Source organism: Homo sapiens, chromosome 19 (genome assembly GCF_000001405.40).
Source record: "Homo sapiens chromosome 19, GRCh38.p14 Primary Assembly".
NCBI lineage: Eukaryota > Metazoa > Chordata > Mammalia > Primates > Hominidae > Homo > Homo sapiens.
This window is the reverse complement of record NC_000019.10, coordinates 39,083,722-39,111,493: the sequence shown is the minus strand read 5'-3', so window position 1 is coordinate 39,111,493 and position 27,772 is coordinate 39,083,722. Positions and strand designations below refer to the sequence as shown.

Genomic DNA, 27,772 nt, shown 5'->3' with positions numbered 1-27,772 from the left:
TTTCTTTGTTTATTTTTCTCTTTTTAAAACTTTTTTATTTATATATATTTTTTGAGACAGGGTCTTGCTCTGTTGCCCAGGCTGGGGTGCAGTGGCGCAATCATGGCTCACTGCAGCCTCAACCTCCTGGGCTCAAGCCATCCTCCCGCCTCAGCCTCCTGAGCAGCTGGGACTACAGGCACACACCACCATGCCCAGCTAAATTTCATATTTTTGGTAGAGAAAGGGTTTCGCTGTGTTGCCCAGGCTGGTCTCAAACTCCTGGGCTCAAGTGATCTGCCCGCCTCGGCCTCCCAAAGTGCTGGGACTACAGATGTGAGTTACTGTACCCAGCCGGCCAGGCACATTTCTGTCTCAGGGCCTTTGCACTGGCTGTTCCTCTGCCTGGAATGCTCTTCCCCCAGATGTCTGCCCACTTGGCTCCTTCCCCACCTCCTTCAGATCAAATGTTGCCCTCTCAGTGAGATCCCCCTGAAAATTGAAACTGCTCTCTCACCGTCCCTGCGTTTTCTACTCACAAATCGCTATTTAACCAACTCATTTATCGTGATTTTTGTCCAACTCTCTGGTTAGGATGTCAGCTCTGTGAGGGCCGAGATCTCTGTCTCATTCACAGCTGTCTCTCCAGCACTGAGAACAGAGCCTGGCACATGGTAGATGCTCAATAAATTATGATTCAATAAATAAAAGAAGGGAAAGAAAGGAAGGAAAGAGGGAAGGAACTGGCAAGTCTGTGGCTCTTGCGGTTTGTCATCTGTCCTAGCTAGGAGGCAAGAGTGTTAACACGTCTCCTCTTCCCGAATAAGATGGTGCCAGGCTGGGAAACTGAGGCATGAAGGGACTCTTCATAGCAGTCCTGGAGCAGTGAAGAAGGAGCCAGGCTTCAGACCAACTCTCAGTGCCGGGCTCAGAAGAAAAAGCCCCTGACGCCACCTGCTGGTGAGTAGTGTCATGACGGTTGTGCCCACCTGGCGATGCCCTTGCCAGGTGGGCAGGAGAGGAGGAAGCCCAGCGGCATCCCCCGCAGATGTGCAGAATCCATGGAGCCAGAGCTTAAGCCTCTTCATTCCTGAAGCCCCGTGGGCACCTCGCCCGATCAGAGCTATGCAGGAGGGTGGGGCCCTGCCAGCAGAAACCTGCCGTGTGTCACTCTGTGCCCGCACACCTGCCCTCCCTCCACAGCCAGCCAGGACTCCCACCTCTCCAGGAGGGAACAGCTGCCCCAGCTCCATAGGGCTGCATGTACCCTACATGGGGCCTCTGGAGGGCAGGGGAGTCAGGGCCCACCCAACTCCCCACCCAGGCCTGGGCAGTTTCTGGTCACAGCAGCCAAGGCGGCAAAACCTAGGCTTCTGGAGGAGAGCTGCCGCCATCCCTAGAGGTACATCCTCCGGCCAAACAGGGGTCTCACCACCCAGACATCATCTACGATCTTCCCATCCTGTGAGGGACAAAAACAGGGACAGTAGTTAGAGCTGAAAGCCTGAACTCTGGGGCCACATGGCCTGGGTTCCAGTCCCCTCTCTGCCCTCTGATGGGCTGTACAACCCTGAGCAAGTGGCTAGGCCTCTCTGGGCCTCAGTTTTCCTCATCTGAAAAGTGATAGGAAGAGTAACAGTACCCACATCATAGATGTTGTGGGAGTTAAATGAGATAGTATTTGTAAACAGAGCCCAGCATATGGAAAGGGCTATGTAAGTGTAGGCTATTATTAGAGCACAAACTCTGGAGTCAGACAGACCTTGCTTTATATTCCAGCACATCCACTCTTTCTCTCTCTCTCCTTTTTTTTTTTTTTTTTTTTTTTTAGACAGAGTCTTGCTCTGTCACCCAGGCTGGAGTGCAGTGGCAACCTCCGCTTCCCAGGTTCAAGCCATTCTCCTGCCCCAGCCTCCCAAGTAGCTGGGATTACAGGCATGCACCACCATGCCTGGCTAATTTTTGTATTTTTACTAGAGACAAGGTTTCACCATGTTGGCCAGGCTGGTCTCGAACTCCTGACCTCAAGTGATCCGCCTGCCTCAGCCTCCCAAAGGCATGAGCTGCTGCACCTGGCCAGCGCATCCACCCTCTAGGTGGCCTTAAGCATGTTGCTGGACTCTCTGAGCAAAACTTCCATGTTCTATGCAATGCACAAAGTAATAGATGCCCAGAGTCATCATGAGAACAGAGTGAGATCATGCACACAAAAGTCTGCGCCCGGTGCATGTGCCACTCGATAAATGGTAGCTATCAGATCCCAGCTTGGCCGTCCTCCAACTGTGTGACCCTGGGAAAATTACTTCCCCTCTCTGAGCCTCAGTTCCCTCACCTATAAAATGGAGAGGAAATCCACTCCTGTGGGATTGTTTTGGTGTATAAAGTGCTACTGGGGCCGCATGCGGTGGCTCATGCCTGTAATCCCAGCACTTTGGGAGGCCCAGGTGGGTGGATCACCTGAGGTCAGGAGTTCAAGACCAGCCTGGCTAACATGGTGAAACCCCATCTCTACTAAAAATACAAAAAATTAGCCGGGTGTGGTGGCATGTGCCTGTAATCCCAGCTACTCGGGAGGCTGAGGCAGGAGAATTGCTTGAACCTGGGAGGTGGAGGTTGCAGTGAGCTTAGATTGCACCACTGCACTCTAGCCTGGGCGACAGGGTGAAACTCTGTCTCAAAAACAAATAAATAAATAAAGTGCTACTAAATGCAGAGCATCTAGGCAGTGCCTGGTATGCAGTAGGTGCTCAATAAATCATAAATATTGTCATTATTTTAAAACTACAATGGCAAAAATAAAGAAAGGTGAGCCATTATTATTTGGATCCACCTAACCTTAAGCCACCTGTACCACATACTCATCTTATTGTTTTCCCCTACCTGTGTCCCACCCCCCATCTTTATCTTCCCCTGCCTCACAATGGTAAATACCTACAGAATTTACCAAGTTCCGCACTCTTCTAAGCATTTTATATATAATAAGTCCTTCAACCCCCATGTAGTCCTGTGAGGTGGAAACTATGATTATCCCCTCTCACAGATGGGAAAACTGAGGCAAAGAAGTTAGATAAGTGGGCCCAGCACAGTGGCTCACACCTGTAATCCCAGCACTTTGGGAGGTTGAGGCAGGCAGATCACCTGATGTCAGGAGTTCGAGACCATTCTGGCCAACACAGTGAAACCCTGTCTCTACTAAAAATACAAAAAATTAGCCGGGTGTGGTGGTGGGCGCCTGTGATCCCAGCTACTCGGGAGGCTGAGGTAGGAGAATTGCCTGAACCTGGGAGGTGGCGGTTGCAGTAAACCAAGACTGCACCACTGCATTCCAGCCTGGGTGACAGAGCGAGACTCCATCTCAAAAAAAAAAAAAAAAAATTAGATGAGTGACTCAAGGTCACTCAGCTGGTAAGCAGCAGGAGCAGGTTTCTAGTTCTACAGTCCACATTTGTTCGTTTTTTTGTTTTGAGTTAGGGTCTCACTCTGTTGCCAAGGCTGGAGTACAGAGGCGAGATCATAGCTCACTGCAAACTCTAACTCCTGCACTCAAGTGATCCTCCTGCCTCAGCCTCCCAAGTAGCTGGGACTACAGACATCTGCCACCACACTTGACTAATTTTCCTTTTTTTTCCAAGACAGAGTCTCACTCTGTCTCCCAGGCTGGAGGGCAGTGGTGCCATCTTGGGTCACTGCAAACTTCACCTCCCAGATTTAAGTGATTCTCCTGCCTCAACCTCCCTTGTAGCTGGGATTACAGGCACCCGCCACCATGGCCAGCTCATTTTTGTATTTTTAGTAGAGACGGGGTTTCACCATGTTGGCCAGGCTGGTCTCTAACTCCTGACTTCAAGTGATCTGCCCACCTCAGCCTCCCAAAGTGCTGGGATTTCAGGTATGAACCACCGCACCTGGCCTAATTTTTTTTTTTTTTTTTTTTTTGAGACAGAGTCTTGCTCAGTCGCCCAGGCTGGAGTGGTGCGATCTCGGCTCACTGCAAGCTCTGCCTCCCGGGTTCACGCCATTCTCCTGCCTCAGCCTCCCGAGTAGCTGGGACTATAGGCACCTGCCACCACGCCTGGCTAATTTTTTTTGTATTTTTAGTAGAGAAGGGGTTTCACCATGTTAGCCAGGATGGTCTCGATCTCCTGACCTTGTGATCCGCCTGCCTCGGCTTCCCAAAGTGCTGGAATTACAGGCATGAGCCACCGTGCCTGGCCATTTTTTGTATTTTTTGTAGAGACTAGGTCTCACCATGGTACCCAGGCTGGTCTTGAACTCCTGGACTCAAGCGATCCTCATACCTTAGCCCCACCAAATTGCAGGTGTTGCAGGCATGAGCCACTGCGCCCGGCCGAGCCCACGTTTTTAACAGCTCATTTGCTTGGAGGGGCCTGGCTGTACAGTCAGGTGACTTCGGCCTGCCCCTCACTGACCTGGTCGTCCGACACCTGCTGGATGTGGATGTGGGTCCCGTTGAGGATGTGCAGCCGCGTATACCCGTACTCCTTCACACGCACGGCACTCCAGGGCCTCGGGAAGACAGCAAAGGGCGTCAGCCGCTCCTCACAGCCCTGGGGCGGGGAGAACTGATCAGACCCAGAGCAGGTGGAGGACCCGCGGGGAAGCAGAAATGACCTGCTAGCCCAGGACCCTGCTGCCCTCAAGGAAGACAGTGAAGACTTGACCACCATAGAGGCCGGGCGCAGTGGCTCATGCCTGTAATTCCAGCACTTTGGGAGGCCAAGAAGGGCGGATCACTTGAGGTCAGGAGTCAGAGACCAGCCTGGCCAACATGGTGAAACCCTGTCTCTACTAAAAATACAAAAATTAGCCTGGTGTGGTGGTGGGCACCTGTACTCCCACCTACTTGGGAAGCTGAGGCAGGATAATTGCTTGAACCCAGGAGGTGGAGGTTGCAGTGAGCCGAGATTGTGCCACTGCATTCCAGCCTGGGAGACGGAGTGACACTGTCTCAAACAAAAACAAAAACAAAAAGACTTGGCCACAATAATACTCACAATTGAACAATTTGTCCCAGGCAGGCTTCCCTTGCTCCGGGTCTCTGACTTCTAGAAAAGTACACGGCTGTGTAAGGCTGCCCACTACAGCATTACAGTGAAAGCCCTGAACTGGAAGCCATCCCAACGCCCATCAGGGAGTCAGTTAAATACATTATAGCACAGCCATCGCAAAGCAGGGAAGCGGGGTGATACAGAAAGATGGCCAAGATGTGTGTGAAGGAGAAAAAGCAATTTGAAGAACAGAGAAATCACTGGATCTGAAGCCTGGCTGCACAGTAGACCCTCCAAGAAAGCTTTTTAAAACAACAGCGCCTGGGGAAACAGAATGCTCGTGCTTGCAGCAGAAAAGCCAGGCATGAGGAGCAGAGAGGATGCCAGGGTGAGGAAAATCACCATTTTGCACCCAGCATTATAGTACTGGATTGAAGCAAGGATCATGAATGGATGATAAAACTAGCAGGGAAAGTTTGAGGCATAACAGGATGTTTGCATAGTCTCAAAGTATCTCTCCAGGAGATGCTTGTTAATTACAAAGGAAAAAAGAGAGTCACTTTATGGTGGAGATGGCTGGCTGATACCTCCCTAACCAAGTGATCAAAGTAAGCATCATCAGTAATGAGACCCATCCGTACCACACTTTCAGCTGAGAAATCAGAGGCTCAAAGAGGTTAAAAAGACATCGTGCAGCCGAGCACAGTGGCTCACGCCTGTAATTCCAGCACTCTGGGAGGCCGAGGCGGGCAGATTGCTTGAGCCCAGGAGTTCAAGACCAGCCTGGGCAACATGGCGAAACCCTGTCAATACAAAAATTAGCTGGGCGTGGTGGTGCATGCCTGTAATCCCAGCTACTCAGGAGGCTGAGGTGGGAGAATTGCTTAAGCCTGGGAGGTCCAGGCTGTAGTGAGCCGAGATTGTAACACTGTACTCCAGCCTTGGGGACAGAGTGAGATCCTAACTCAAAAAAGACACCATGCGCCTCCTTGCAGGATGTATTGGGAAGAACACAGTATCTGTTTTGTGTATTCTTAGCAAAGATGCACAACTTCTATCTAATCATGAGCAGACATCAAACAAACCCAAAGGAAATTCCACAAAACAACTCGCTGTGCTTTTCAAAATTGTCAAGGTCATGAAAAATGAAGAAAGAGTAGAGAATGTTTCTGATGAAAGGAATGAAAGAGACGCCGGGCACAGTGGCTCATGGCTGTAATCCTAGCACTTTGGGAGGCCGAGGCGGGCAGATCACGAGGTCAGGAGTTCGAGACCAGCCTGGCCAACACGGTGAAACCCCCGTCTCTACTAAAAATACAATAATTAGCCGGGCGTGGTGACGTAAGCCTGTAATCCCAGCTACTCAGGAGGCTGAGGTGGGAGAATCGCTTGAGCCTGGGAGGCAGAGGTTGTGGTGAGCCGAGATCACGCCAATTGCACTCCAGCCTGGGCAACAATAGTGAAACTGTGTCTCAAAATAAATAAATAAATAAATAAAAGTGGTTAAATGTTCATATTTGGGAAATATTGGTGAAGTGGATATGGAAAGTCCTTGTATTGTTAGCGCAACTTTTCTGTTGGTCTGAAATAATTTCAATTTATTTTTTCTTTTTTATTTTTGAGACAGAGTTTTGCTCTTGTTGCCCAGGCTGGAGTGCAATGGCACGATCTCGGCTCACTGCAACCTCCGCCTCCTGGGTTCAAGCGATTCTCCTGCCTCACCCTCCTGAGTAGCTGGGATTACAGGTGCCCACCACCATGCCCGGCTAATTTTTTGTGTTTTAAGTAGAGACGGGGTTTTGCCATGTTGGGCAGGCTGATCTCAAACTCCTAACCTTGGGTGATCTGCCCGCCTCAGCTTCCCAAAGTGTTGAGATTACAGGCGTAAGCCACCGCGCCCGGCCTCAAATTTCTTAATTAAAGAAAAAAACCAATTTGTGCTGATAAAATCAGAATAGCAATCACCCATGGGCAGAGCCTGGCTGCCAAGGGCCGTGAGAAGCCATCTGGTGCTCACAGCATTCTATTTCATGCTCCGTGTGGCAGCTACTCTGGGAGATCAATGCCAGGGATTCTGGTATTTTGTCCGGGGTCAGGCCCAAGCACTGGACTTTTGAAAGCTCCATAGGTAATTCTGATGTGCACCAAGTTTGAGAACCACTAGGGCATGACCCACGATCTAAGTGCTTTTTTTTTTAAGTAAGCAATACAGTAACATGTCTCTATCTAAACAATTACTCCTTTGTATATGCAGAGAACATTGTAAAATGCCTAAAAAGAGTCAACAACCGAGAGTGGGGCAATGTGTGGTGTGAGTGGCTTCTGTTCACCTCCTGCCCTCTGTAACTGTTTGAATTTTTATTACAAGTGATTCTTACTTTTATATATATGTATACATATATATAATGATAATAATAATTATTATTTTACCAGAAACAGGGTTTTGTCATGTTGCCCAGGCTGGTCTCGAACTCCTAGACTCAAGCGATCCACCCACCTCAGCCTCCCAAAGTGCTGGCATTACAGGCATGAGCCACCGCACCCAGCCTCACTTTGCTCTTAATCATTTGTAAGAAGCAGCTTTGGAAGGCCGAGCTGGGGGATCACTTAAGCCCAGGAATTCGAGACCAGCCTGGGCAACATAGTGAGACTGTCTCTATTAAAAACATTTTTGTTTTTGAGATGGGGTCTCGCTCTGTCCCCAGGTTAGAGTGCAGTAGCACAGTCTCAGCTCATTGCAGCTTTGACTTCTTGGGCTCAAATGATCCTCCCATTTTGGCCTCCCAAGTAGCTGGGACTACAGGTGTGCACCACCACGCATGGCTAAATTTTGTATTTTTTGATAGCGATGGGGTTTCACCATGTTGCCCAGACTGGTCTGAAACTCCTGACCTCAAGTGACCTGCCTGCCTCAGCCTCCCAAAGTGTTGGGATTATAGGCGTGAGCCACTGCATGTGGCCAAAATTTTTAAAATTAAATTAAAAAATTAAAAAACTAAGCCTCGCTCCATGGAGAAGGGGTAGATTCTAAGGCTGAGCAAAAAAAAAAAAAAAAAAAAAAAAACACATGATGATCCTGGAATGTTTTGAAGTGCCAGAGAATAAGGAGGGGATGAGTGGAAAGGAGACAGGAGCCCACTGATGGCCAAAGCTGGCACAACTTAAACATCCAGATAAATAACACTCATGTTGGATAATAACCCGCAGAGTAAAATAAATTACCCATGAGTTCACACGGACATAAATAAACAATTAACCAACTGAACAAATGTGGCAGAAGACACAAGTCAGCCTTGCAAGAGGATCTCAATTCGTAAATCTTGGAAGAGTGAGGGCGACAGAAAATCCCCATTAGAATGGCACTGTAAGGCCGGGCACAGTGGCTCTTGTCTGTAATCCCAGCACTTTGGGAGGCCGAGGTGGGCTGATCACCCGAGGTCCGGAGTTTGAGACCAGCCTCGCCAGCATGGTGAAACCTCATCTCTACTAAAAATATAAAACTTAACCGGGCATGGGGGTGGGCACCTGTAATCCCAGCTACTTGAGAGGCTGAGGCAAGACAATTGCTTGATCCCGGGATGTGGAGGTTGCATTGAGCCGAGATCGTGCCACTGCACTCCAGCCTGGGTGACAAGAGTGAAACTCCGTCTCAAAAAAAAAGAAAGAAAGAAGGAAGGAAGGAAGGGAGGGAGGAAGAAAAGAAAGAAAGAAAGAGAGAGAGAGAAAGAGAGAGAGAGAGAAAGAAAGAAAGAAAGAAAGAAAGAAAGAAAGAAAGAAAGAAAGAAAGAAAAGTCTTCATTGGAACAGCTTAGTAATAACTGTTAACAGGCAGCGTCCACTAATGGGTTTGAAAATAAGAGGGTGAAAGTTTGAGGAGAAACAGGACATTTGGGCCAGGCAAACCTGTAATCCCAGCACTTTGGGAGGCCGAGGCAGGCAGATCACTTGAGGTGAGGAGTTTGAGACCAGCCTGGCCAACGTGGTGAAATCCCATCTCTACCAAAAGTACAAAAATTAGCCGGAAATCTCTTGAACCAGGAGGCGGAGGTTGCAGTGAGCTGAGATCATGCCACTGAACTCCAGCCTGGGCAACAGAGCAAGACTCCGTCTCGAAAAAAAAAAAAGAAACATGACATTTGCATGGTCTAACAGGATCTCCCCCAAGATAGTTTTTTTGTTGTTGTTTAGATATGGGATCTTGCTTTGTCACCCAGGCTAGAGTGCATTGGTGCGATCATAACTCATTGTAGCCTCAAACTCCTAGGATCAAGCAATCCTCCTGCCTCAACCTCCCAAAGTACTGGGATTACAGGAATGAGCCACTGCACCTAGCCACCCAGTATCTTTTGTGTGTGTGTGTGTGTGTGTGTGTGTGTGTGTGTGTGAGAGAAAGGGTCTCATTTTGTTGCCCAGGCTGGAGTGCAATGGTGAGATCTCAGCTCACTACAGCCTTGACCTCCTGCACTCAAGCAATCCTCCTGACTCATCTTTTTGAATAGCTAAAATTACAAGCAAGCACCACCTCGCCCAGCTAATTTCTTTTTTAATTTTTTTTTTTTTTTTGTATAGACAAGGTTTTGCTGTATTTGCCAGGCTGGTCTCCAACTCCTGGCCTCAAGTGATCCTCCAGACTCGGCCTCCCAAAGTGCTAGGATGACAGGCATGAGTCATTGTGCCTGGACCTCCATGGTAGTTATTAATTAAAAAGGGAACTAGAGTAACTTTATGGTGGGGGAGCTCCCAACCTCTGCCACTTATTTGACCTGCGACTTTGAGCAAGTATTTTCCTGTCTGTGCCTCTGTTCCTACATCCGTCCAATGAACATACCGCTAGGAGTTCCCGACCTTAGGGCTGAGGGTTAAGTGATATCCACTATATAAAGCACCCAGCACTCAGTCTGGAACAAAGTTAGCCCTCCATAGATAGGAATAGAGAGAGAAGGCAAAGCCACCCTTCCCCCTGCTCACAGCAGATCCTGTGATGATGTGGACAGGCCCTCGCGGGTTGGTGTAGGGCATCTCTCGGCTGCCGTTAAATACCTGGGGAAGGGAACAACGTTGGGTGGCAGGCAGTCACTCGAGGCCATGCCTGGGCCTTCTGACCACCCTGACCCCAGCTGTGTGGGCGCTCAGCCCTTCACGTGCCTCACCTGGTAGTTGTAAATTGGCCACAGTCGTTCATACGAGTGCTCATGAGCCCACAGCTGCAGATCCACTCCTGAGATAGAGCAAGCGGGGATCAGACCTCTGAATTGGGGAGAGGTGGGGTGTGGGGCATGGGTCCTGAGGGTCGCTCACCATATTTGTAGAAAAGATCCTCCAACCCGTACAGCTTGCCTTGGAGGCCTTTGCGGACCTGGGCAGGGTGAATGAGCGGGTGAGGGTGACGCAGACTGACGCCCACCTGGCTTTCAGCATGTCCCCACTGTCTCCCAGGGAGGGACCTCACCTTGCTTTCATGTCGTGTGCAGTCGTCCAGATCTGCGTTGGAGCAGTACATGGGCCGGTGCCCCATAGTGATGATCCACGGCCGGGCTGCCCGGTTCTTATTGGCTTTCTAGGGAGAAGGGCCCAGGGTGAGGGGCTAGGAGTCAGGGGTGGAGGGGGAGGTGGGGCTGGCCAGGGGACTATAGGGGCCTCCACCCAGGTTACCTGGAGGTCGCTCTCCAGCCAGCGAAACTGCCTCTGTACCAAGTGGCGGCCATAATGGAGAAAGAAATAGACCTCGGTGGAGAAGGAGATGATGTGGGCGGGACCCAGATCCCAGCTGGAGGAGTCAAAGGGCAGGGGTCAGGGACCAGGGCTCCCCTGCATCTCCCATCCTTCAGGGGAGAGGGCCAGTCCCCCAGCACCCCCACATTACCTGTACCACAGGCCCTCATTATCCCCCGGCATGCTGAAGCGAGCCTTGTAGTTAGAGAAGTTGCTGGAATAAAGGAAGTACAAGGGATGGAGGTGAAGGACTGAATTTCATAGCCCTACTCCTATACCCCGCCACTGTCAGGCCCTGAGTCCAGCTTCCAGCCCACCCCCATCTCCTCTTGCTACCACAATTGAAATGTTGCAGCATGAGAGACTCAAGGGAGACACTAAGAAGAACGAGACCATTTCCATTGATCCAGCCCTCGCCCACCGCCACCACCCTCAGTCCTCACTAGCGTTCTTCATGATTCCCAGGGCATGTCATGTACGGCAGGCTGGCAGCCACGGGTTCAATGAGCCGCATGAACCTATCCCCAACACGGGCGTTGTCCTGATCCAGGTTGTAGGCAAAGTCTCCTGGGGGAGGGGGCGGAAGGAGGGTGAGGACCCAGGCCCAGCTCTGCTTTCACTGGAATTGAGAGAGCCAGGTATGGTGACTCACACCTGTTAATCCCAGCGCTTCGGGAGGCCAAGGCAAGAGTATCACTTGAGCCCAGGAATTCAAAACCAGCTTCCCAAAGTGCTGGAATTACAGGTGTGAGCCACTGTGCCGGGCCAAGATGGGCACTTTTTTTTTTTTTTTTTTTTTTTGAGACAGAGTCTCCCTCTGCTGCCCAGGCTGGACTGCAGTGGTGCCATCTTGGCTCACTGCAACCTCTGCCTCCTGGGTTCAAGCGGTTCTCCTGCCTCAGCCTCCCAAGCAGCTGGGATTACAGACACTTGCCACCACACCTGGCTAATTTTTGTAGTTTTAGTAGAGATGGAGTTTCACCATGTTGGCTGGGCTGGTCTCGAACTCCTGACCTCAAGTGATCCACCCACCTTGGCCTCACAAAGTGCTGGAATTACAGGCATGAGCCACTGCGCCTGGCCCAAGATGAGTATTATTATTATTATTCCCATTTCAGATGGGGAAACTGAGGCCCCAGGTCACACAGCTGGCTAGTGAAGATGTAGAAATAAAACCTAGGGAGCCTGATTCCAGAGTCTGCACTTTGAAGCACACAATCCCCAATCCCCATTACCCATCTAATTCCCTTCCCCCTCTTAAATAACAACAGCAGCAATAATAATAATAACCAGCACAAGGACACCGAAGTGCACCTGCACCCTGCGAGGCAAAGCGAACTAACGTAGTCATCACAACAGTCCTGCGAACTCGGAACCAGCTTTCTCTCTAATCAAAATATACGGGGGAAAACCCCTGCTCCTGGCAAGAGCGCCAGAGTTGGGATTTTAACCTAGGCAGGCTGGTTGGCCACAGACACCGTCTCCGTAGCCAGTCTCATCCCCTGTCCCTTCAGAGACACACTGGCCCCAGCCCTGTCCCCTCCACGGTCCTAGCACCGCCCCCGACCCGCGCGCCCCCGACCCGCGCGCCCCCCACCATCCCTGCGCGCGCCCCCCACCGTCCCTGCGCGCGCCCCTGCGGATGCCTCACCCACATGGAGAACGGCGTCATACATGCCCTGCTGGGTGTCCCTGCGCAGCCGGGGGACGGCCTTCGGGTTGTCAGCCCCCAGGTCTCCAAACACAGCCAGACGGGGACTCCAGTGGGCCCCATTCTTGAGGGCCCTGAAGCGGAACCGACGGCTCCAGCCCTGCGCACTGCCACAGCGATAAACTGAATGGGAGAGGAAAAGGTCGCAGTCAGCTGGGGCGCCCCGGGACCCTCCCTCCAACCCCATCCTTCCCCGACTGGTGGAGGGGAGGAGATGGGGGGACTGGTGGGGGCTGGCCCATGCCCCTTCGGTCTGCCTTCCCCGGCACCTTCCGTTTTCATCCTGGGGTCTCATACAACAGGCTTGCAGATAGGCAGTGGAGTTACCAGCCCAGCCTGAGCCACCGGCCAGTGGTAGCTTCTAGTCTGCATCCCACTCCTCTTCCCACTCCTCCTCAACAGCTCAGCCTGGGGCCCCTCTCACCATACTGAACCCCTGGCAGCAGCTTGCGAAGCGTGACTCGGTGTATGTAGAGCTTCCGCCGGAGAATGCCCCCGTCCACAAAGGGGACGAAGGTGCCCTGGGCGCGGAGGGGCAGGGGCCCCGACGGCTGCAACCCGAATTGCACTTCAGAGCGGGTTGGGACCCATGTGGTCCAAGTTACAGTCATGGAGCCTGGCTCACCTGGGGAGAAAGGGACAGAGGGTAGACCGGGAGTGAAGCCTGGGCAGGGTGGGAGGGATATGCAGAAAAAGTGAGGGGCGTTGACCACTGTTGAACAGTTAGTGGTTAAGGACACAGGTTCTGGAACTGCCCAAGTTCAATCCCAGCCCCGCCATTTCTTTTCTTTTCTTTTCTTTTCTTTTTTTTTTTTTTTTTTTTTTTTTTGAGTCAGGGTCTTACTCTGCCTCCTAGGCTGGAGTACAGTGGTGCAATCTCAGCTTACTGCAATCTCTGCCGCCTCGCAGGTTCAAGCGATTCTCCTGCCTCAGCCTCCCGAGTAGCTGGGATTACAAGCATGTGCCACCATGCCTGGCTAATTTTTGCATTTTTAGTAGAGATGTAGTTTTGCCATGTTGGCCAGGCTGGTCTTGAACTACTGACCTCAGGTGATCCACCCACCTTGGCCTCCCAAAGTTCTGGGATTACAGGCATGAGCCAGCTCTGCCATTTCTAAGCTGAGCTTTCCTGGGGCACATCACTTCACCTCTCTGAGCCTCAGTTTTCCTGTCTGTAAAATGGAAAAATAATAGTCTCTGCCCTATATGGTTGTTATGAGGCTTAGATGAATAAATATAAATAAAGCACGTGAAACAGTACCTAGTACACTTAGGGTTATATGCGGGAATGAGTATTATTATTAATATCATTATTTACTGTGTGCAGGTCTTGTGCCAACTATTGTACACACATGATATCATTTAAGGGTTGCCAGCTTGGGTGTCTGGAGGCCAAGACTGTAGACCCTGCCCTATCTCAAAGGGGCAGCCATCACTCAGATCTGGCAATAGCCACAAAGCAAGCAGGAAACGGGCCCAGTACCAGCAAAGCTATTGACTTTTTTTTTTTTTTTCTTAGAGATAGGGTCTCACTCTATTGCCCAGGCTGGAGGTGCAGTGGTGCCATCTTAGCTCACTGCAGCCTTGGCCTCCTGGGCTCAAGCGATCCTCCTGCCTCAGCCTCCCAAGTAGCTGGGACCACAGGCACATGTCACCATGCCCAGCTAATTTTTTTTTTTTTTTGAGGAGTCTTGCCCTGTTGCCTAGGCTGGAGTGCAATGGCGCATTCTCGGCTCACTGCAACCTCGGTGAGATGGTTTGGCTCTGTGTCCCCACCCAAATCTCATCTTGAATTGTACTCCCGTAATCCCCACGTGTTGTGGGAGGGACCAGTGGGAGACTGAATCAAGGTGGTGGTTTCCCCCATACTGTTCTCATGGTAGTGAATAAGTCTCACGAGATCTGATGAGTTTATCAGGGGTTTCCACTTTTGCTTCTTTCTCATTTTCTCTTGCCACCGCCATGTCAGAAATGCTTTTCACTAGCCAGGTGTATTGGCTCATGCCTGTAAACCCAGCACTTTGGGAGGCCAAGGTGGGCAGATCACGAGGTCAGGAGATCGAGACCATCCTGGCCAACATGGTGAAACCCCATCTCTACTAAAAATACAAAAATTAGCTGGGCGTGGTGGCATGTGCCTGTAGTCCCAGCTACTTGGAAGGCTGAGGCAGGAGAATCACTTGAACCCGGGAGATGGAGGTTGCCGTGAGCCAAGAGCACGCCACTGCATTCCAGCCTGGCAACAGAGCAAGACTCTGTCTGTCTCAAAAAAAGAAAGAAAGAAAGAAAAAAGAAATGGCTTTCACCTTCTGCCATGATTCTGAGGCCTCCCCAGCCATATGGAACTGTAAGTCCAATTAAACCTCTTTTTCTTCCCAGTCTTGGGTATGTCTTTATCAGCAGCATGAAAATGGACTAATATAGTAAGCTGGTACCAGTAGAGTGGGGTGTTGCTGAAAAGATACCTGAAAATGTGGAAGCAGCTTTGGAACTGGGTAACAGACAGAGGTCGGAAAGTTTAGAGGGCTCAGAAGAAGACAGGAAAATGTGGGAAAATTTGGAACTTCCTAGAGACTTGTTGAATGGCTTTGACAAAAATACTGATAATGATATGGACAATGAAATCCAGGCAGAGGTGCTCTCAGGTGGAGATGAGGAACTTGTTGGGAACTGGAGCAAAGGTGACTCTTGTTATCTTTTAGCAAAGAGACTGGTGGATTTTGCCCCTGCCCTGGAGATTATTGGAACTTTGAACTTGAGAGAGATGATTTAGGGTATCTGGTGGAAGAAATTTCTAAGCAGCAAAGCATTCAAGATGTCCTGTTAAAGGCATTCAGTTTTAAAAGGGAAGCAGAGCATAAAAGTTCAGAAAATTTGCAGCCTGATGATGGGATAGAAAATAAAACCCCATTTTCTGAGGAGAAATTCAAACTGGCTGCAGATATTTGCATAAGTAACGAGGAGATGAACGTTCATCCCCAAGACAATGGGGAAAATATCTCCAGGGCATGTCAGAGACCTTTGCGGCAGCCCCTCCCATCTCAGACCCAGAGGTCTAGGAGGAAAAAATGGTTTCATGGGCAGGGCCCAGGGTCCCTGTGCTGTGTGCAGTCTAGGGACTTGGTGTCTTGCATTCTAGCTGCTCCAGCTGTGGCTGTAAGGGGACAACATAGAGCTTGGGCCGTGGCTTCAGAGGGTGCAATCCCCAAGCCTTGGCAGCTTCCACATGGTTTTGAGCCTGCAGGTGCGCAGAAGTCAAGAATTGGGGTTTGGGAACCTCTGCCTAGATTTCAGAAGATGTATGGAAACGCCTGAATGCCCAGGCAGAAGTAGGGGTGGGGCTCTCATGGAGAACCTCTGCTAGGGCAGTGCAGAAGGGAAATGTGGGGCTGGAGCCCCCACACAGAGTCCCTACTGGGTTACCACCTAGTGGAGCTGTGAAAAGAGGGCCACTGTCCTCCAGACTCCAGAATTGTAGATCCACCAACAGCTTGCACTGTGTTCCTGGAAAAGCTGCAGAAACTCAATGCCAGCCTGTGAAAGCAGCCAGGAGGGAGGCTATACCCTGCAAAGCCACAGGGGCAGAGCTGCCCACAACCATGGGAACCCACCTCTTGCATCAGTGAGACCTGCATGTGAGGCCTGAAGTCAAAGGAAATCATTTTGGAGCTTTAAAATTTGACTGCCCTGCTGGATTTTGGACTTGCATGGGCCCTGTAATGCCTTTGTTTTAGCCAATTTCTCCCATTTGGAATGGCTGTATTTACCCAATACCTGTACCCCCATTGTATCTAGGAAGTAACTAGCTTGCTTTTGATTTTACAGGCTCATAGGTGGAAGGGTCTTGACTTGCCTCAGATGAGACTTTGGACTGTGGACTTTTGGGTTAATGCTGAAATGAGTTAAGACCTTGGGAGACTGTTGGGAAGGCATGATTGGTTTTGAAATGTGAGGACATGAGATTTGGAGGGGCCAGAGGCAAAATGATATGGTTTGGCTCTGTGTCCCCACCCAAATCTCATCTTGAATTGTACACCCATAATTCCCACATGTTGTGAGAGGTACGTGGAGGGAGATCATTTGAATCATGGGGGCAGTTCTTGTGGTAGTGAATAAGTCTCATGAGATCTGAGGGTTTTATCAAGGATTTCTGCTTCTGCTTTTCCTCATTTTCTCTTGCCACCACCATGTAAGAAGTGCCTTTCACCTCCTGTCATGATTCTCAGGCCTCCCCAGCCATGTGGAACTGTAAGTCCAATTAAACCTGTTTTTCTTCTCAGTCTCAGGTATGTCTTTATCAACAGCATCAAAACTAATATACCCTGCCTCCTGGGTTCAAGTGATCCTCCCGCCTCAGCCTCCTGAGTAGCTCGGACCACAGGCATGAACCAGCATGCCCAGTTGATTTTTAATTTTTTTTTTCATAGAGATGGGATCTTGCCATGTTGCCCAGGCTGGTCTTGAACTCCTGGACTTGAGCAACCCTCCCTCCTCGGTCTCCCAAAGTGCTGGGATTACAGGCGTGAACATGTGCCCGGCTTTTCTATTGACTTCTAGAACACATCTTTTTTTTTTTTTTTGAGACTAAGTCTCACTCTGTCGCCCAAGCTGGAGTGTAGTGATGCAATCTTGGCTCACTGCAACCTCCACCTCCTGGGTTGAAGTGATTCTCCTGCCTCAGCCTCCTGAGTAGCTGGGATTACAGGTGCGTGCCACCATGCCCGGCTAATTTTTGTATTTTTAGTAGAGACAGGGTTTCACCGTGTTGGCCAGGCTAGCCTCGAACTCCTGACCTCATGATCCACCCACCTGGGCCTCCCAAAGTGCTGGGATCAGCACTTTGGGTGAGCCACCACGCCCAGCCTACAACATATCTTTACACAGTGGTTTTTATATCCCAGGAGCATATACAGATAGATACGAAAATCCAGATTTTGAAGTGATAGCTTCAAATTCTTAAACGTTAGCACCCAAGTCAAGGTTTTAAAAATACCGTGTGGTGTAGTGTAATGTTAAGAGTTCTTCCTCCAGCCATACAAAAATGCATGTGCTCAGGGTTATTTATGGCAGTACTCTTTGTAATTGCAAAATACGGGAAACAACCTAAATGCCCATATTTAGGAGAGTGACTCAATAACATCCACACAATGGTGTAAAAAAGAATGAGGACAAGTTCCAAGAACTGCTATGAAATGTTTCCAGGACATATTGTTAAACCAAAAAAAGCAAAGTGCATAAGAGTATAGTTAGCTGCCCTTAATGTAAGGGGGTATAGAAAATATGCAGGTGTCTCTGTTCATTTGTACAAAAGAAATAAAGAAAGGGTACACCAGGTACTAAAGAGATGAATTACTTACAGGGGATGAGTGGAAAATGAGGTAGAAGAAAAGAGGAGGCCAGACATGGTGGCTCAGCCTGTAATCCCAGCACTTTGGGAGGCCAAGGTGGGTAGATCACTTTGAGGCCAGGAGTTTGAGACCAGCCTGGCCAACATGGTGAAACCCCATCTCTACTAAAAATGCAAAAATTAGCTGGGCGCGATGGCTCATGCCTGCAATCCCAGCACTTTGGGAGGCTCAGGAAGGTGGGTCACTTGAGGTCAGGAGTTCGAGACCAGCCTGGCCCATATGGCAAAACCCGGTCTCTACTAAAACTATAAAAATTAGCTGGGCAGGGTGGCGCGTGCCTGTAATCCAGCTACTCAGGAGGCTGAGGCAGGAGAATCACTTGAACCCAGGAGGCGGAGGTTGCAGTGAGCTGAGATTGTGCCACTCACTGCACTCCAGCCTGGGTGACAGAGCAAGACCCCGTCTCGAAAAAAAGAAAGAGAAAGAAAGAAAGAGAGAGAGAGAGAAAGAGAGAGAGAGGGAGAGAAAGAAAGAAACAAAGAAAGAAGGAAGGAAGGAAGGAGAGAAAGAAAGAAAGAGAAAGAAAGAAAGGAGTGAGGGAAGAAGGAAAGAAAGAAAGAAAGAAAAAGAAAAAAAGAAAGAAAAGAAAGAAACGGGGGCCAGGCGCGGTGGCTCACGCCTGTAATCCCAGCACTTTGGGAGGCCAAGGCAGGTGGATCACCTGAGGTCAGAAGTTCAAGACCAACCTGGCCAACATAGTGAAACCCCATCTCTACCAAAACTACAAAAATTAGCTGGGTGTAGTGGCACACACCTGTAGTCCCAGCTACTCAGGAGGCTGAGACAGGAGAATCGCTTGAATCTGGGAGGCGAAGGTTGCAGTGAGCCGAGATCACACCACAGCACTCCAGCCTGGGTGACAGAGCGAGACTCCATCTCAAAAAAAAAAAAAAAAAAAAAAAAGAGGAATGGGAAAGAGTAGTAGGGATGAAGAAACAGAGACACTGGTCTGAGTCAGGCTTTTCGTATAATTTTGACTCCTGGAACTATAGTCATGTTTCACATTTCCCTCACACACCCACAAAATAAATAATTAAAACTATCAGGGTGTGGGGGGAACCCAATATGGAATAGAAACACTAATAAGTGGACCTAACCAGATTAAAAAAAAGCATAACATAACCACATGGAAGGGGGTGAGGAAGAATAATAACCGCAAGAAACAGTGTCCTAACTGGGTATTATTACAAGACAAAAGACAAAAAGGACTGTGCATAAAGGCTGTCACCTTGGCATCGTGTGCTTCCCACAGGCACACCTGTAAATGATTCTGCAACTGCTATATATATATATATATATATATACAGAGTTTCGCACTTGTTGCCAAGGCTGGAGTGCAATAGCACAATTTCGGCTCACTGCAACCTCTGCCTCCCGGGTTGAAGCGATTCTTCTGCCTCAGCCTCCAAAGTAGCTGGGATTACAGGCATCTGCCAACACACATGGCTAATTTTTTGTATTTTTAGTAGAGACCGGGTTTTACCATGTTGGCCAAGCTGGTCTTGAACTCCTGACCTCAGGTGATCCACCTGCCTCTGCCTCCCAAAGTGCTGAGATTACAGGTGTGAGCCACCGCATGCTTTATGTATACACTAGGATTAAACAAATAAATATATCGTAGACAGAGTGAAGTTTCTGAGTGTTAGAGAAAGAAGTTACAAATAAGGAAAGATAAGGCTAAAATAAACCCATGGTGCTGGGCTGAAATCAGGGATATCAGTATGATCTCATGGTAATTCAATTTTTTTATTTTTTTATTTTTTTAGTTGTTGTCTTGCTCTGTTACCCAGGCTGGAGGGACAGTGGTGTGATCTTGGTTCACTGCAACCTCCGCCTCCCAGGTTCAAGTGATTCTCCTGCCCCAGCCTCCTGAGTAGCTGGGATTACAGGCACACACCACCACGCCTGGCTAATTTTTTGTAGTTTTGGTAGAGATGGGGTTTCACTATGTTGGCCAGGCTGGTCTTGAACTCCTGACCTCAAGTGATCCACCCACCTCAGCCTCCCAAAGTGCTGAGCCACTGTGGCCAACCAGGTAATTAATTTTTATACAGATTCAAACATAGATGTGTGAATATGCAGCTTCGTGTACATGCATGTATTGCCTCGCTGTGTTTGTTGAGAGGAACTAGAAGCAATGACATCCCAGTGGCAATGAGCACACCTAGTGCCCAGATCTTAGTTTCTAAATACTCCAATAAAAAGGAACTGGAGGGCTGGGCACAGTGGCTCATGCCTGTAATCCCAGCACTTTGGGAGGCTGAGGCAGGCAGATCATGAGGTCAGGAGTTCGAGACCAGCCTGACCGGCATGGTGAAACCCCGTCTCTACTAAAAATACAAAAATCAGCTGGGCTTGGTGGTGCACGCCTGTAGTCCCAGCTACTTGGGAGGCTGAGGCAGGAGAATCGCTTGAACCCAGGAGGCGGAGGTTGCTGTGAGCTGAGATCACGCCACTGTACTCCAGCCTGGGTGACAAGAGCAAAATTCCATCTCAAAAAAAAAAAAAAAGAAAGAAAAGAAACTGGAACTTATTGTGGGAAATAGGTGCTTCCCAGGATGGAACAGGAAATACACAAGAGGAGCCTGGAATCATTTGTGATGTCATCAAGTGAGGAAGTGCTCACAAATGATGGAGGCTTGTTGTAAGAACACAGAACGCAATCTGAAGGAATTCTGAGAGACCAAATCTGGGACAATCATAACATCAGATTTTTCACCCATGGAATAAAATGGATATCCATGAGTCCATGATGTAAATAAATCATTGAATAAAGTAATAAAGGGAGCAGGGAGGGACAGCTCTTTCTTATAATAAAATTTCAATTAGATGGAAGGAGCTACTATATTGAATAGGAACAATAGACCAAAAAAAAAAAAAAAAAGAAGTGGGAAGGCTGGGCGAGTAGTTCACATCTATAATCCCAACACTTTGGGAGGCTGAGGCAGGTGGATTGCTTGAGCCCAGGAGTTCCAGACCAGCCTGGGCAACATGGTGAAACTCTGTCTCTACAAAAATACAAAAATTGCCAGGCATAGTGGTGCATCCCTGTAGTCCCAGCTACTCAAGAGGCAGAAGTGATGAGGGTCACTTGAGCCCGGGAGGTAGGGGTTGCAATGAGCTGAGATCGCGCCACTGCAATCCAGCCTGGGTGACAGAGCAAGACTCTGTCTCAAAATTAATTAATTAATTAATTAAAAGTTATTGGCCGGGCACAGTGGCTCATGCCTGTAATCCTAGCACTTTGGGAGGATGAGGCAGGCAGATTGCCTGAGCTCAGGAATTCAAGACCAGCCTGGGCAACACAGTGAAACCCCGTCTCTACTAAATTACAAAAACTTGGCCAGGCATGGCAGCGTGCGCCTGTAATCCCCGCTACTCAGGAGGCTGAGGCAGAAGAATTGCTTGAACCTGGGAGGTGGAGGTTCCAGTGAGCCGAGATTGCGCCACTGCACTCCAGCTTGGGCAACAGAGCAAGACTCCGTCTCAAAAACAAAACAAAACAAAGGTTATAAAATTTAAAAAGAAAAAAAAAGAAGGAGGGCATTAGAAAATTAGAAAATCACCATTAGGCAAATACCACACTAATTGTTGCCGATAAGATCCACTTATCAGCAGGATCTTTTAACAAGATGCTAAAATTAGTGAGCAAACATTGAGGAGAAATGGGATTTGCATTGTCTTGAGCCATCTCCCTCAAGATATTTATTAACTACAAAGGGAAGAATAATTACTTTATAGTGGAGAAACCCAGCAGGCACCTCCTTAATGAAACAATCAGGGTCAACATCAATAAGTCACAGCAATAAGTCACAGCCACATCTTGATTCTTCGTATCATGCGCCAAGAAGGGCACAACATCATATCTATGATAGTCTTGCCAAAAATACATAACTTAATTCCAGTGGTGAGAAAGTATCAGACAAATCCCAAACGAGAGATACTGTACAAAATAGCTGATCGGTACTCGGCAATACCAAGAGCATGAAAGACAAGGGAAGACTGAGAAACTAATAGATGGGAGGAGACTAGGGAGGCACAACAGCTAAATGCAATGTGAGATCCTGGATCGGATTCTGGAAGGGGAAATGGACATTAGTAGAAAAACGGGTGAAATTCAAATGAGATCTGTAGTTTAGTTAACAGGATTGTACCAATCTTGATTTCTCAGTTTTAATCATTGTTCATGGTTACGTAAAATGTTAACATCAGGGGAAACTGAGTGAGGGGAGACAGGAACTCTGTAATATTTTTGGAATGTTTCTGCTAAATCCAAAAGTAGTACAAAATTTAAAAGTTTTAAAATAGGCCGGGCATGGTGGCTCACACCTGTAATCCCAGCAGTTTGGGAGGCCGAGGCGGGTGGATCACTTGAGGCCAGGAGTTCAAGATCAACCTGCCCAACATGGTGAAACCCCATCTCTACTGAAAAATACAAAAATTAGGGGCCGGGTACAGTGGCTCATGCCTGTAATCCCAGCACTTTGGGAGGCCGAGGTGGGTAGATTACTTGAGGTCAGGAGTTCGAGACCAGCCTGGGCAACACGGTGAAACCCCGTCCCTACTAAAATACAAAAATTAGCTGGGTGTGGTGGCATGCACCTGTAGTCCAAGCTACTTGAGAGACTGAGGCAGGAGAATCGCTTGAACCTGGGAGGCAGAGGTTGCAGTGAGCCAAGATCTCACCACTACACTCTAGCCTGGGCAACAGAGTGAGACTACGACTCAAAAAAAAAAAAATGCAAAAATACAAATACAAAAATCAGCCAGGCATGGTGATGCGCGCTGGTAGTCCCAGCTACTCGGGAGGCTGAGGCAGGAGAATCCCTTGAACCTGAGAGGCAGAGGTTGCAGTGAACCAAGACCACACCACTGCACTCCAGCCTGGGCGACGGAGTGAGACTCTGTCTCAAAACAAACAAACAAACAAACAAACAAACAAACAAACCCACAAAGATCGTGGGCTTCTGAGCTAGCCTGCCGGCATTCAGATTCCCAGGCTGTGTGAACTGGGGTCAGACTCTTCCCCTGCTGTGAGTCTCTCTTGTCAAATGGGAGTAGCAATGGTACCTACAGCTTAAGGTTGATACCAGGTTAAATGAGTTATCCGTCTAAAGCACTTATAAGAGTGTATTTGCCATTGTTACTGTGTAGGCTGAAAAAGGACAGCCATGATCTCACTGGATTGTCACAGCAGCACTACGAGATGGGTTTTTACTGCCTTTCCCATTTTTACAGAGGCCTCCAGGCAAAGCGCTTTGTCCAAGGTCACTAGGCTGGCAAATGCCAAGCCAGTTCATTCATGTGGTTTCTGATTCCACATTGCAACTAACCTTTAAGAAACCCTCTCTCTGCTGGGCATGGTGGCTCACCCCTGTCATCCCAGCACTTTGGGGTGCTGAGGTGGGAGGATCACTTGAGCCCAGGAGTTTGAGACCAGCCTGGACAACATAGTGAGACCTTGTCTCTACAAAAAATAAAAAGAATTAGCCAGGCATGGTAGTGCACGTCTGTAGTCCCAGCTACTCAGGAGGCTGAGTCAGGAGGATCACTTGTGCCCAGAAGTTAGAGGCTGCAGTAAGCTATGATTGCGCCATTGCATTCCAGCGTGGGTGACAGAGTGAGACCCTATCTAAAAAAAAAGAAGAAACTATCTTCTTTGAAGATGTAAAAGACATGAAAAACAAGGAAAGATAAGGAATGACTGAGGAACTGGCACAGATAGAAAAGAGTAGGACTAGAGCCAGGCACGGTGGCTCACGCCTGTAATCCCAGCATTTTGGGAGGCAGAGGTGGGTGGATCACTTGAGGTCAGGAGTTCGAGGCCAGCCTGGCCAACATGGTGAAACCCCGTCTCTACTAAAAATACAAAAATTAGCCAGGTGTGGTGGTGCATGCCTGTAATCCCAGATACTTGGGAGGCTGAAGCAGGAGAATCGCTTGAAACCAGGAGGTGGAGCTTGCAGTGAGCCAAGATCATGCCATTGCACTACAGCCTGGCCAACAGAGTGAGGCTCCATCTCAAAAAAAAAAAAAAAAAAACAAAATTAGCTGGGCATGGTGTCATGCCCCTGTGGTCCCAGCTATTCAAGAGACTGAGGTGGGAGGATCGCTTGAGTCTCGGAGTTGAGGTTGCAGTGAGCCATGTTTGTGCTACTGCACTCCAGTGCCAAACCCTGACAGAGCCAAACCCTGTGTCAAAAAACAAGCAACTTTTCTCCCTGTTTCAACCACATGTCTGTGCAAGAACAGATTTTCTTCACAGGCAAAATCCAAAACAACAAATCACAACAGACTAAAATGAAAACAGATCTGAGGAGAATCCAGTTGTCAGTTACCAAACCAGATACTAAAGAGATTTTAGGCGGGGCGCGGTGGCTCATGTCTGTAATCCCAGCACTTTGGGAGGCCGAGACTGGAGGATCGCTTGAGCTTAGGAATTCAAGACCAGCCTGGGCAACATGGTGAAATTCCATCTGTATAAAAAATACAAAAATTAGCCAAGTATGGGGTGGTGGGTGCCTGTAATCCCAGCTACTCGGGAGGCTGAGGTGGGAGAATCACTTGAACCCTGCGGGGCAGAGGCTGCAGTGAGCCAAGACTGTGCCACTGCACTCCAGCCTGGTTGACAGAGCGAGACCCTGTCTCAAAAATAAATAAATAAATAAAAGATTTTTAAAAGATGCAAGTCAATGCCACTTTCCTCACTCAATTTCTTCTTTTGCAAAATACAGTTTGTTCCTTAAAAATATCATATACATTAATACTGAAGGTGTTTGTTATTGTTAATTTTAAATGACAATAAAAAATTTTAAATGCCTCAGTTTTAATACCTTATTTAGTAAATATTGCTAGCTGTAATGCACATAAACTAAAGCTCTTTGAACTTCTCCATAAATTTTAGTTCTCCATAAAATTTAGTGATGTAAAATGGTCCTGAGATTAACAGTTTAAAACAAACAGTCCTGAGATTTAAAGTGTATGGAAATTGCTGCTACATGCCAAGCTCCGTTCTATCCCCCTCCCCCCCCCCTTTTTTTTTTTTGAGACAGGGCCTCATTCTGTCAGCCAGGTTGGAGTGTAATGGCATGATCTTGGCTCATTGCAACCTTTGCCTCCTGGGCTCAAGCGATCCTCTTGCCTCAGCTCCCCAAGCAGCTGAGACCAGGCGTGAGCCACCATGCCCAGCTAATTTTTTAATTTTTTTGTAGAGACCGGGTTTCACCCATGTTACCCAGGCTGGTCTTGAACCCCTGAGGTCAAGTGATCCACCCACCTCAGTGTCCCAAATTGCTGAGATTACAGGCATGCACCACTGTGCCTGGCCTCCTCCACATTTTTTTTTTTAAAGACAGGGTCTCTCTCTGTTGCCCAGGCTGGAGTGTAGTGGCCAATCATGGCTCACTGCAGCCTTGAACTCCTGGGCTCAAGCGATCCTCCCACCTCAGTCTCCCAAGTAGCTGGGACTATAGGTGCATGCCACCACACCTGTCTAAGATTTTTTCTTTTTCCCTAAGAGGCAGAGGTCTCACTATGTTTCCTAGGCTGGTCCCAAACTCATGAGCTCAAGTGATCCTTCCGCCTCAGCCTCCCAAACTGCTAAGACTACAGGTGTGAGCCCCCACACTCAGCCTCAGTTCTGCCCCTTTACAGGTAGCAACTCATTTACACCTCACCATGAGGTTGTACTAATATTACCCCATTATCCAGATGAGGAGACTGAGGACAGAGAGGTTAAGCCACTTGCCCAAGATTAGGCAGCAGGTACATAGCAAAGCTGGGATTCTAACCCACGTGGTCTGGGTGCCAATGGTCCAGAGTCCAAGCTCTTACTCCCACAGTGGAAGGATCCTAATCAAAGATCGGGAGGCAGTCAGCCTCGTGGGGAAGAGGAGAAGAGGGATGGAGAAGGGGCTGGGTAACCCAGCTCTGTTATCATTCATCCACTGGTTCCTTCCACAACTGGCTCTGAGGCCTACCGTGCATGAACGAACAAACGTGCCAGGTCCCGGAAACACAACAGAGATGCAATGAACAAGGACAGCAGCGGTCCCCTTTTGAGAGCAGGGGAGCACTCTCTGTGGGCTGAGCACCATGATCATTCCCCACACTTCCAGGTGTTCCACAGCCTGTACTTCCTATTCCACAGAGGTGGATGATGGAGGCTCAGGAGGAATGAGCCACCCGCCTAGGGGCTCACAGTGTGGGATTCCTGAGCCCTCAAACAACGAAGCACCGCTGGGCCTCTCTGGTAGAGGCATAGAAATGAGTCAGGGACACTTACCTGGGTAAGACAGATGGACTTGCTCTGGGGCAGCGCTGGGAGCCCCCAGGGACCCCTGGACTCCCAAGGAGAATAGCAGGAGTAGACAGTAACAGGACCAGTAGCCAGGAAGGGGGTGCATGGTGGTGGGGTGGTGATGGCAGACCGGGGAAAAGCAGGGGGACTGAGGAGATCAGCTCCCCACAGGTACAGCAGGAAGGGCTGGGAGGATGGGGAACAGAGGATGATCAGGCAGTGCTCTGGGGGACAACAGAGGCAGGGCAGGGAGGTCTCCTTCAAGATGGGTGGTTATCCAGGTGCTGGAGAGAGAAACCAAAAATAAGAATCGCTAAGGAACAGCAGCAGAGCTCTCTGAGCCTCACTCACAGTGTGCCAACCGCTTGACATAGATTAATTCACGGAAGCCTCACGACATTGCTATGAAGTGGTGGCTGTGAGCATTGTCATCCCCATATCACAGATGAGGAAACCGAGCAGCTGAGTGATTCAGCTGCACAGCTAGGATGGGATGGAGCCAGGATTTGAACCCAGGAGGGCCTGATTCCAGAGCCTTGCTCCTAACCAGAGCTCACTCTCAGTGCTGGGGGTCTGGGAGCGGGGTGGAGGCTGTGTAGGAGGTTGCATTCCGCAGCCCCATCCCCAGCTTTCCATCCTGCTGTTAGAAACCCCAGTTCTCCTACCTACTCCCGAGATTCCAAGCATTCCCGCCTGCCCCCGGGACCTCGCCTCCCTACTCCATCCTTAGCCTTCTATTTTGCTCCTAGTGACCCCAATCCTCCCACACCACCCCCAGATCCTTTAGAGCCCATCATGGCCAGAGCGGCCGCATCCTCTCTCCCCATCCCCAGCGTCCCTGCCCTTCCCCCATCTGTACCCACCCCCCTTCTCTCCAGCGCTTTCCCGCCTGCTCCAGCTCCGTCTCCAGCTGCCAGGATGGAGCCGGGTCGGGACCATCCGGGAAAGGGGACGCCCTCCCGGACCCCGGCTCACCCTCGGGGGCGCCGGCTGCCCGCACGCGCCTCTCCCGCCACCAGCGCCGCCCCGGTATTTATGAGTTCGCGGGTGCCGAGGCCTCTTGCCGCCTACAGCCGTCCCAGCCCCGGAAGAGCCGGTCGCCTCGGGGTGACAGCCTCCCTAGACAGCCAGGGCCCCGGGTCCCACAGGTCCGGCCGGTCCTGCCTGGGCGCCCCACACCCACCCGCCCACCCCACCAGGGCGTGGCGCGGGAAGGGGGACCCAGGAAGGTTATGATACGTCTCCGGCGCGCCACCTCTGAGCCGGCCACCAGGTGAGAGCCCAGGCAGGTAACCCTGCGCTCGTCCCTCAGGCGCCCACTCATCAGCTGGGGAGCCCCAGGGCACGGACACCGGCCCCTATCCTGGCCCTGCCCGATCCCCAGGTACCCAGGTGTGCAGGACCGGGGGATCCCCAACCTTTCCAGCCTCGCTGCATCTTCCTCCAGCCTTCCGGCTTCCTTCCTTTCCATGCTGAGCCCACTGACCCCTCCTCAGAAGCCCGGGGCAACCTCAAAACAAAACCAGAATCCCGGAATTGCAGTGGGCTTTCTGAGCTGTGCGACCTAGGTGAGTTATTCAACCTCGCTGGACCTTGGGTTTTTTCACCTGTAAAAAGGAGGTGATGCTCGTATATACCCCGTGGGCTGTTGTGA

At 49.7% G+C, this 27,772-nt stretch overlaps 1 protein-coding gene across 12 annotated transcripts, besides 2 other annotated features; it reads right to left on the bottom strand.

Annotated features, from left to right (window-relative positions):
* Positions 1-27,706, bottom strand: ACP7 (acid phosphatase 7, tartrate resistant (putative)). 12 transcript variants are annotated; one of them, XM_017026807.3, is made up of 13 exons: positions 27,537-27,706; positions 26,104-26,402; positions 12,836-13,036; positions 12,352-12,534; positions 11,144-11,267; positions 10,852-10,914; positions 10,641-10,755; positions 10,438-10,545; positions 10,287-10,344; positions 10,139-10,206; positions 9,957-10,028; positions 4,410-4,547; positions 1-1,441 (listed from the first exon to the last, which is right to left on the bottom strand). In XM_017026807.3, the coding sequence occupies exons 2-13, from the start codon at positions 26,222-26,224 to the stop codon at positions 1,376-1,378; spliced, it is 1,317 nt and encodes a 438-aa protein (XP_016882296.1). In that variant the 5' UTR covers positions 26,225-26,402; positions 27,537-27,706; the 3' UTR covers positions 1-1,375. The 12 variants fall into 12 exon arrangements, with proteins under 12 accessions (XP_016882296.1, XP_011525268.1, NP_001004318.2 ...); XM_011526966.4 differs by lacking the exon at positions 27,537-27,706 and adding an exon at positions 26,982-27,126; NM_001004318.3 differs by lacking the exon at positions 27,537-27,706 and adding an exon at positions 27,094-27,126.
* Positions 991-1,060: an enhancer, noted in NCBI's record as "active region_14612". NCBI's record gives its function as "activates an Ori minimal core promoter by ATAC-STARR-seq in GM12878 lymphoblastoid cells {active_cell/tissue: GM12878}" and the evidence as "EXISTENCE:reporter gene assay evidence [ECO:0000049][PMID:35858748]".
* Positions 26,773-27,273: an enhancer, noted in NCBI's record as "H3K4me1 hESC enhancer chr19:39574861-39575361 (GRCh37/hg19 assembly coordinates)". NCBI's record gives its function as "activates a minimal SCP1, AML or CMV promoter by ChIP-STARR-seq in primed H9 embryonic stem cells {active_cell/tissue: H9 hESC(primed)}" and the evidence as "EXISTENCE:reporter gene assay evidence [ECO:0000049][PMID:30033119]".
* Positions 27,707-27,772: the final 66 nt, after the last annotated feature.